General features: G+C 42.0%; 2 annotated features.

Annotated features, from left to right (window-relative positions):
* Window positions 5417-6372: an enhancer, noted in NCBI's record as "OCT4-NANOG-H3K27ac-H3K4me1 hESC enhancer chr12:18355246-18356201 (GRCh37/hg19 assembly coordinates)". NCBI's record gives its function as "activates a minimal SCP1, AML or CMV promoter by ChIP-STARR-seq in primed H9 embryonic stem cells {active_cell/tissue: H9 hESC(primed)}" and the evidence as "EXISTENCE:reporter gene assay evidence [ECO:0000049][PMID:30033119]".
* Window positions 6373-7327: an enhancer, noted in NCBI's record as "OCT4-NANOG-H3K27ac-H3K4me1 hESC enhancer chr12:18356202-18357156 (GRCh37/hg19 assembly coordinates)". NCBI's record gives its function as "activates a minimal SCP1, AML or CMV promoter by ChIP-STARR-seq in primed H9 embryonic stem cells {active_cell/tissue: H9 hESC(primed)}" and the evidence as "EXISTENCE:reporter gene assay evidence [ECO:0000049][PMID:30033119]".

The following is a 10983-nucleotide window of genomic DNA, read 5'->3' on the forward strand; positions in this document are numbered from 1 at the left end:
CTGAGACACTTTACAGCTCTAGACCCTAGAAACTCAAAAGGCATCTTATTCTCAATATACATTTTATTACCCAATCTGCTCCCTACATTAAATAAAACTCCAAAAATTAAATTCTGGCCCTCAAACCCCACAACAGGACTTAATTAACCTCGCCTTCAAGGTGTACAATAATAGAGGCAGCCAAGTACCAACATATTTCTGAGTTGCAATTCCTTGCCTCCACTGTGAGACAAACCCCAGCCACATCTCCAGCACACAAGAACTTCCAAACGCCCAAACCGCAGGGGCCAGGTGTTCCTCCAGAACCACCTTCCCCAGGAGCTTGCTACAAGTGCCAGAAATCTGGCCACCAGGCCCAGGAATTCCCGCAGCCCAGGATTCCTCCTAAGCCATGTCCCATCTGTACAGGACCCCACTGGAAATCGGACTGTTCAACTCACTTGGCAGCCACTCCCAGAGCCCCTGGAACTCTGGCCCAAGGCTCTCTGACTGACTCGTTCCCAGATCTTCTTGGCTTAGCAGCTGAAGACTGACGCTGCCCAATCGCCTCAGAAGCTCCGTAGACCATCACGGATGCCGAGCTTTACGTAACTCTCACAGTGGAGGTTAAGTCCGTCCCCTCCTTAATCAATACAGAGGCTACCTACTCCACATTACCTCCTTTTCAAGGGCCTGTTTCCCTTGCCTCCATAACTGTTGTGGGTATTGACAGCTAGGCTTCTAAACCTCTTAAAACTCCCCAACTCTGGTGCCAACTTAGACAATACTCTTTTAAGCACTCCTTTTAGTTATCCCCACCTGCCGAGTTCCCTTATTAGGCCAAGATACTTTAACTAAATTATCTGCTTCCCTGACTATTCCTGGATTACAGCTACATCTCACTGCCTCCCTTCTTCCCAATCCAAAGCCTCCTTTGCTCTTCCTCTCATATCCCCCCACCTTAACCCACAAGTATGGGACATCTCTACTCCTTCCCTGGCAACTGATCACATGCCCATTACCATCCCATTAAAACCTAATCACCCTTAACCCACTCAACGCCAATATCCCATTCCACAGCATGCTTTAAAATAAAAGGATTAAAGCCTATTATTACTCGCCTGCTACAGCATGGGCTTCTAAAACCTATAAACTCTCCTTACAATTCCCCCATTTTACCTGTCCAAAAACCAGACAAGTCTTACAGATTAGTTCAGGATCTGCGCCTTATCAACAAAATTGTTTTGCCTATCCACCCTGTGGTGCCCAACCCGTAAACTCTTTTGTCCTCAATACCTTCCTCCGTAACTCACTATTCCATTCTTGATCTTAAAGATGCTTTTTTCACTATTCCCCTGCACCCTTAGTCCCAGCCTCTCTTTGCTTTCACCTGGACTGACCCTGACACCCATCAGTACCAGCAGCTTACCTGGGCTATACTGCCGCAAGGTTTCAGGGACAACCCTCATTACTTTAGCCAAGCTCTTTCTCATGATTTACTTTCTTTCCACCCCTCTGCTTCTCACCTTATTCAATATATTGATGACCTTCGTCTTTGTAGCCCCTCCTTTGAATCTTCTCAAGGTGACACACTTCTGCTCCTTCAGCATTTATTCTCCAAAGGATATCGGGTATCCCCCTCCAAAGCTCAAATTTCTTCTCCATCGGTTACCTACCTCAGCATAATTCTTCATAAAAAACTCTCCCTGCCGATCGCGTCTGACTAACCTCTCAAACCTCAACCCCTTCTACAAAACAACAACTCCTTTCCTTCCTGGGCATGGTTGGATACTTTCGCCTTTGGATACCTAGTTTTGCCATCCTAACAAAACCACTATATAAACTCACAAAAGGAAACCTAGCTGACCCCATAGATCCTAAATCCTTTCCCCACTCCTCTTTCCATTCCTTGAAGCTTTAGAGACTGCCCCCACTCTAGCTCTCCCTGACTCATCCCAACCCTTTTCATTACACACAGCTGAAGTGCAGGGCTGTGCAGTCGGAATTCTTACACAAGGACCGGGATCACGTCCTGTAGCCTTTTTGTCCAAACAACTTGACCTTAATGTTTTAGGCTGGCCATCATGTCTCTGTGCAGCAGCTGCTGCCGCCCTAATACTTTTAGAGGCCCTCAATATCACAAACTATGCTCAACTCACTCTCTACAGCTCTCATAATTTCCAAAATCTATTTTCTTCCTCACACCTGACTCATATACTTTCTGCTCCCCGGCTCCTTCAGCTGTACTCACTCATTGTTGAGTCTCCCACAATTACCATTGTTCCTGGCCAGGACTTCAATCAGGCCTCCCACATTATTCCTGATACCACACCTGTCCCCCATAACTGCATCTCTCTGATCCACCTGACGTTCATCCCATTTCCCCACATTTCCTTCTTCCCTGTTTCTCACCCTGATCACACTTGGTTTATTGATGGCAGTTCCACCAGGCCTAATCGCCACTCACCAGCAAAGGCAGGCTATGCTATAGTATCTTCCACATCTATCATTGAGGCTACCACTCTGCCCCCCTCCACTACCTCTCGACAAGCCAAACTAGTTGCCTTAACTCAAGCCCTCACTCTTGTAAAAGGACTACGCATCAATATCTATACTGATTCTAAATATGCCTTTCATATTCTGCACCACCATGTGGTCACATGGGCTGAAAGAGGTTTCCTCACTACACAAGCATCCTCCATCATTAATGCCTCTTTAATAAAAACTCTACTCAAGGCCGCTTTACTTCCAAAGGAAGCTGGGGTCATTCACTGCAAGGGGCATCAAAAGGCATCAGATCCCATTGCTCTAGGCAATGTTTATGCTGATAAGGTGGCTAGACAAGCAGCTAGCTTTCCAATTTCTGTCTCTCAGAGCAACACTTATGCTGATAAGGTGGCTAGACGAGAAGCTAGCTCTCCAACTTCTGTCCCTCATGGCCAGTTTTTCTCCTTCACATTGGTCACTCCCACCTACTCCCCCGCTGAAACTTACACCTATCAATCTCTTCCCACATAAGGCAAATGGTTCTTAGACCAAGGAAAATATCTCCTTCCAGCCTCACAGGCCCATTCTATTCTGTTGTCATTTCATAACCTCTTCCATGTAGGTTACAAGTCGCTAGCCTGTCTCTTAGAACCTCTCATTTCCTTTCCATCTTGGAAATCTATCCTTAAGGAGATCACTTCAGGAGATCACTTCTCAGTGTTCCATCTGCTATTCTACTACCCCTCAGGGATTGTTCAGGCCTCCTCCCTTTCCTACACATCAAGCTCGGGGATTTGCCCCTGCCCAGGACTGGCAAATTGACTTTACTCACATGCCTCGAGTCAGAAAACTAAAATATCTCTTAGTCTGGGTAGACACTTTCACTGGATGGGTAGAGGCCTTCCCCACAGGGTCTGAGAAGGCCACCGCAGTCATTTCCTCCCTTCTGTCAGACATAATTCCTCATTTTGGCCTTCCCACCTCTATACAGTCTGATAACAGACCAGTCTTTACTAGTCAAATCACCCAAGCAGTTTCTCAGGCTCTTGGTATTCAGTGGAACCTTCATATCCCTTACCATCCCCAATCTTCAGGAAAGGTAGAACAGACTAATGGTCTTCTAAAGACACACCTCACCAAGCTCAGCCTCCAACTTAAAAAGGACTGGACAGTACTTTTACCTCTTGCCCTTCTCAGAATTAGAGCCTGTCTTCGAGATGCTACAGGGTACAGTCCATTTGAACATTTATATGGATGCATTTTCTTGCTTGGCCCCAACCTCATCCCAGACACCAGCCCTCTAGGCGACTATCTTCCAGTCCTCCAACAGGCTAGACAGGAAATCCGCCAGGCTGCTAATCTTCTCTTGCCTACTCCAGATCCCCAGCCATATGAAGACACCCTAGCTGGACGATCAGTTCTTGTTAAGAGTCTGACCCCTCAAACTCTACAACCTCAATGGACCGGACCCTACTTAGTCATCTATAGTACCCCGACTGCTGTCTGCCTACAGGATCCTCCCCACTGGGTTCACCGTTCCAGAATAAAGCTGTGTCCATTGGACAGCCAGCCTAATCCCTCTTCTTCCTCCTGGAAGTCGCAAGTCCTCTCCCCTACTTCCCTTAAACTCACTCATATTTATGAAGAACAGTAATAACCCTTATGAGCCTAATATATCCCTTCATTCTATTAGGTCTATTCGTCCTTACCCTACTTTTTGCAACAGGCTTTACGAAGTCACCCCCACCATTTAGGCCAAGCCCCAAAAAACTTGTCATCCCTACTATTTTCTCTCTAGTCATACTCCTATTCTCCGTTCTCAACTACTTATAAATGCCCTACTCTTGTTTACACTGCTGGTTTACACTGTTTCTTCAAGCCATCACAGCTGATATCTCTTGGTGCTATCCCCAAACCGCCACTCTTAATTCCCTCTTAGAGTGGGTAGATGATCTTTGCTGGCAGGGCACCCTCCAATACTTCCACCCTGATGAAGCTCTATTCTTTACTTTTATACTCACTCTTATTCTCATTCCCATTCTTATGCCACCCTTTACCTCTCCCCAGCTATCTCCACCACACTATCAACCTTACCCATTCTCTCCTAGCTGCTTCTAATCTCTCCTTAGCGAACAACTTCTGGCTTTGCATTTCCCTTTCTTCCAGTGCCTACACAGCTGTCCCCATCTTACAGGCACTCTGGGCAACATTTCCTGTCTCCTTACGCCTCCAAACTTCCTTTAACAGCCCTCACCTTTACCCTCCTGAAGAACTCATTTACTTTCTAGACAGGTCCAGCAAGACTTCCCCAGACATTTCACATCAGCAAGCTGCCGCCCTCCTCTGCACTTATTTAAAAAACCTTTCTCCTTATGTTAACTCTACTCTCCCCATATTTGGACCTCTCACAACACAAACTACTATTCCTGTAGCCGCTCCTTTATGTATCTCTCGGCAAAGACCCACTGGAATTCCCCTAGGTAATCTTTCACCTTCTCGATGTTCCTTTACTCTTCATCTCCGAAGCCCAACTACACACATCACTGAAACAATGGGAGACTTCCAGCTCCATATTACAGACAAGCCCTCTAACAATACTGACAAACTCAAAAACATTAGCAGTAATTATTGCTTAGGAAGACACTTACCCTGTATTTCACTCCATACTTGGCTACCTTCCCCTTGCTCGTCAGACTCTCCTCCCAGGCCCTCTTCTTGTTTACTTAAACCCAGCCCTGAAAATAACAGTGAAAGGTTGTTCATAGATGCTCAATGTTTTCTCATACACCATGAAAATCAAACCTCCCCCTCTACACAGTTACCCCATCAGTCCCCATTACAACCTCTGATGGCTGCCGCCCTAGCTGGATCCCTAGGAGTCTGGCTACAAGACACCCCTTTTCAGCACTCCTTCTCACCTTTTTTACTTTGCATCTCCAGTTTTGCCTCGCACAAGGTCTCTTCTTCCTCTGTGGATCCTCTACTTACATGTGTCTACCTGCTAATTGGACAGGTACATGCACACTAGTTTTCCTTACCCCCATAATTCAATTTGCAAATGGGACCGAAGAGCTCGCTGTTCCCCTCATGACACTGACACAACAAAAAAGAGTTATTCTACTAATTCCCTTGCTGATCGGTTTAGGACTTTCTGCCTCCACTATTGCTCTCGGTACTGGAATAGCAGGCATTTCAACCTCTGTCACAACCTTCCATAGCCTGTATAATGACTTCTCTGCTAGCATCACAGACATGTCACAAACTTTATCAGTCCTCCAGGCCCAAGTTGACTTTTTAGCTGCAGTTGTCCTCCAAAACTGCCAAGGCCTTGTCTTACTCACTGCTGAAAAAGGAGGACTCTGTATTTTCTTAAATGAAGAGCGTTGTTTTTACCTAAATCAATCTGGCCTGGTGTATGACAACATAAAAAAACTCAAGGATAGAGCCCAAAAACTTGCCAACCAAGCAAGTAATTATGCTGAACCCCCTTGGGCACTCTCTAATTGGATGTCGTAGGTCCTTCCACTTCTTAGTCCTTTAATACCCATTTTTCTCCTTCTTTTATTCGGACCTTGTATCTTCCGTTTAGTTTCTCAATTCATCCAAAACCGTATCCAGGCCATCACCAATCATAATATATGACAAATGTTTCTTCTAACATCCCCACAATATCACCCCTTACCACAAGATCTCCCTTCAGCTTAATCTCTCCCACTCTAGGTTCCCACGCCGCCCCTAATCCTGCTTGAAGCAGTGCTGAGAAACATCGCCCATTCTCTCTCTCCATACCACCTCCCCAAAAATTTTCACCGCCCCAACACTTCAACACTATTTTGTTTCATTTTTCTTATTAGTATAAGAAGGCAGGAATGTCAGGCCTCTGAGCCCAAGCCAAGCCATCGCATCCCCTGTGACTTGCACGTATTCACCCAGATGGCCTGAAGTAACTGAAGAATCACAAAAGAAGTGAAAATGCCCTGCCCCGCCTTAACTGATCACATTCTACCGCAAAAGAAGTGTAAATGGCCGGTCCTTGCCTTAACTGATGACATTCCACCACAAAAGAAGTGAAAATGGCCAGTCCTTGCCTTAAGTGATGACATTACCTTGTGAAAGTCCTTTTCCTGGCTCATCCTGGCTCAAAAAGCTCCCCCACTGAGCACCTTGCGACCCCCACTCCTGCCAGCCAGAGAACAAACCCCCTTTGACTGTAATTTTCCTTTACCTACCCAAATCCTATAAAATGGCCCCACCCCTATCTCCCTTTGCTCTCTTTTCGGACTCAGCCCGCCTGCACCCAGGTGATTAAAAGCTTTATTGCTCACGCAAAGCCTGTTTGGTGGTCTCTTCACATGGACACGCATGAAAAATTCAGGTTACAAGAAGGTAGGGTATCACAGAAGGAGGAAAAGAAAAAAAAATATGAGGTTGGAGGAAGCATATCCTAAGGAATGATAAAATTAGTCATTATTTGGCTGGGTGCGGTGGCTCACGCCTGTAATCCCAGCACTTTGGGAGGCCAAGGCAGGCGGATCTCGAGGTCGGAAGATCGAGACAATCCTGGCTAACACGGTGAAACCCTGTCTCTACTATAAATACAGAAAATTAGCTGGGCATCTGTAGCCCCAGCTTCTGGGGAGGCTGAGGCAGGAGAATGGCGTGAACCTGGGAGGCGGAGCTTGCAGTGAGCCGAGATCGCCCCACTGCACTCCAGCCTGGGCGACAGGGCAAGACTCTGTCTCAAAACAAACAAACAAAAGTCATTATTTTATAACTGCTAATATAGTTTTCATGATTCACACAGGGTAATCAATAGAACTTAAAACCATTGCTGGCGTGTTGGATAAAAAGGTATTTACAAGATCTCAGAGTATCACTCACATGTTACTTATTAACTACCAAGGAGAAAATGTCCCTATACAATGAAGAGATCTGGGTGTGACTCCTTATCTTGAAAGATACATGCTGAAGTAATTAGAAGTAAAATGTGTTGATGTCTGCAGCATTTATTTGGAGAAAGTGGGAAATGTAGAGCCGGTTGATAGGACATTACTGATTAATAAATGTCTATGATGAGTATTCAGGTGCTCATTTTCCTGTTTATTCAACGTTTTGAGCATCCAAAATTTTTCAAAATAAAAGCCAAATGCTTACAAATTTAAAAAGCAGACCTCTAAAATGATGTATGTTTTTTCTTTGAAAGCTGATTTCTCACTTAAATAAATTTGGTGTGGTCCAAACTAATTATCAAAGCATGAATCTTTTTAAGGATATTATTAATTGAAATTAAAAGCTGTGACAGTAACTGTTGAAAATGAAGTGGCTAGATTATGAGCAAGTTTCTTTTTTCACAGGGTCTGATCCATATTATTTCAAGTGTTCTGCTCTTTTGATTAGAAACACCAAGGTTTTATTTAATTGTATAAATTATGCCCCTGGCTTTAGAAACTAACAAAATAAATGGGAAAAAATTAATTACAAAATTGTTGGAATCAACCATCGAACAGCAGGATATAAGCATCATAAAATTAGCATTTTCATGTAATCGTTTTAGAGACACCTGCTAAGTTCAAATAGATTCTATACACAGATAATATTTTCAAAGTATTTTTACCCAAATTCTTAAATTTATATTGAGCCTTGTAACAACATATGGAATCAGTAAAGATTCTAAGAGAGACAATTCTTACCTCTCAACAAGAAATGAGGAGAGCTATGGCTTATTTACTCTGAATCCATATTCACAAAGAAGGTAGTGGATACTTTGAAAAACAGATGTTATTTGCCTTATTTCTCACGTCTGGGAATGCTTCCAAAGCCTAAGTTATCTTAATTTGCTAAAAAAGAACTCATTTAGTGAAGTCTTGTAAGAATATATTTTTTCCTTCTTATCATTCCATTCTCACAAGCATGAAATAAAAGTGCTTTTGTTTACTAAGAAATGTGTGCAGTTTTCTAAATGTATTGTGAGGGTAGGGGTTGAATATTCCTGACAATCTCTCAAATATTCCTCTCCCTATTATGTAACCTACAAAAAGAGATTTATCACTTTTTTGTATTCACAATATCTGGCATTGTATGAGGTTCTTAGTAAACATGTGTTATTAAAAATGAATTCTATTCATGAAATACTTTTTCTAATAGACTGTACCTCCTTTCAAGGTCCTTATGAGCAACATTTCTCTCTGATTGAGTCATGATTACTTCAATTTCTCATTCAACAAATATATATTGAAAGTATATTGCTTTCTTACATTAGCCTGTCAGATCCTACATTAGCTTATGGATTTACAAAAATTATTAAGACATGGCCCCTGCCCTTCAGGGGATCTTAAATCTAAAAAGTGGAGAAACATGAAAACAGATCTTGGAAACACAATCTAGGGCAATAGAGGAAATATCAGCAAAGAACCATGGGGCCAAAATAATTGGTAAGAATATGTTTGTCCTCATTTCAAATGTCAAGTTTCTTTTCCTTTGTATAAGAATTTTTTAAGATAAGAGCAGGCAGTCACCTTAAACAGTCATCTTAAACTTAAACACCTTAAAAGTCACCTTTAAAAAGTCTTAATATTTAGAGATAAACCTATATATATTATCAAAGATAAGAAGTAAAGGCTGAGAAAAGTTAATGACAAAATAAGAATCTAGAAAAATGATTACTGCAATTCACCATTTAATAATCTATACTTATTTCAATATCCCAAATTTTTTTTGTTTCTGTCAAATATAATCTATTCATAGGAATTTCTGGTAAAAAATGTATTTGACACTTTTGAGTTCCTTGAATTCTTGTATTTGCTTGAAACTAAATGTTTATTTATTGCATTGCATCCAGTTATCAAATGCTAGTGAGGTCAAGTGTATAGCAGAGGAAAGATGTCTTATCATAAATGCTGTTTAGGACCTCTGAAAATATCAAGTATTTTACTGATCATACAGACCTACCTCTGATATAAGAGGAAGTGTGAATTTCACTTTGACACTTTTTTTTTGAGACGGAGTCTCAGTCTGTTGCCAGGCTAGAGTGCAGTGACGCATCTCGGCTCACGGCAGCCTCCGCATTCCGGGTTCAAGCGATTCTCCTGCCTTAGCCTGCCGAATAGCTGGGACTACAGGCACGTGCCACTACACCTGGCTAATTTTTATATTTTTTTTTAGTAGAGACGGGGTTTCACTTGGCTGGCCAGGATGGTCTCGATCTCCTGAACTCGTGATTAGCACACATCGGCCTCCCAAAGTGCTGGGATTACAGGCGTGAGCCACTGTGCCTGGCCTCACTTTGACATTAACAAGGTACTCAGAAAAGTACATTTAAATGCTTGGGTGAAAAAGAAATTCTTTGTGGTGAAATCCTGGGTTGCAAGAGAAAGTCTTGTCATTACAAAACATCAAGACTTTAAGGAAAGAAAATCAATCTCTAGGTGTGCTTTTTTTTTTTTTCCTTTCTTTTCTTGTCTTAAGGAATGAGGTATCCATAGCTTGCCTGAGGATAATCCTTCACCTGTGTTTGAGATTCACAACCTGCTATCTCAGGGGTTTTATTCTAACAGTTTCAACTAACAGCCAAATACCAATCATTGCCAAACCTACATCTCTAGCTCTGAATTTTTTTCTGGCACCAAGACCAATGCATTCATGTGTCCTATTTGATATTTCTAATTGTATATTCTAAAGTCACCTAAATTCAACATATTAGTTTGAGGAAGAATTTTTAGTTGCAAGCAACACCGCTGACTCTAGACAATTTAAATGTTCAATAAAATTTTTGAAATGGCTAGGGAACCTAAATTGAACCAAAATAGTTAAGAATAGTTACCAAAACAGTGATGTAAAATTATTTCAGTGAAGGAACCTCTACCATCAAAACTGAACAACGCTATTGCAGTAGGAAAATGATTTTGCAGTTTCTACCACTATGACTATTATTATTGTTACTGTTACTATTAATACTACCACTTCTGCTGCTGCTATTCCTACTACTCTTAATAGTAATACTTCTACTATTTGAGAGAAGAAAGAAAAAGAAAGGGATCAATTTCACTGCTGATTGCTTGAATTTCCAGCTGTAGAACTGAAGTTCCTTGCCAGAAATTATTGGAGCCAACATCACTTCTCTGTTTCCTGAACCATTTGAAAAAAATGGAAAATGTCAGTTCCAACACCCACAGTTGAATTCATTATCTTTCCTGCTCTTTTCACCACTCCATTTCCTATTTTTCTAAATACCATCACCTCCCAGCCACTCAAGCTACAAACTTGAAAACCATCTTTGACTCCTCCCTTTTCCAATCAGTTTGGAAAAAGGTTTATATCTTAACCTTTTTAAGAAAAACATCTATCAAGTCTAACTTCTTTTTTTAATAAGAAAACCCTGTTACTATTTGAATGTTTCATTTCTGTTATTGTCACAATTTATTAGCTTTCTTTCTGACTCTAGTTACTTTCCAGCAATCCATTCCTTACATGAATAGAATACTCTTTTAAAAATAAAAATATTTCCGGCTGGGTGTGGTG

The sequence above is a fragment of the Homo sapiens genome, chromosome 12, assembly GCF_000001405.40.
Source record: "Homo sapiens chromosome 12, GRCh38.p14 Primary Assembly".
In the NCBI taxonomy this organism is placed as follows: Eukaryota; Metazoa; Chordata; class Mammalia; order Primates; family Hominidae; genus Homo; species Homo sapiens.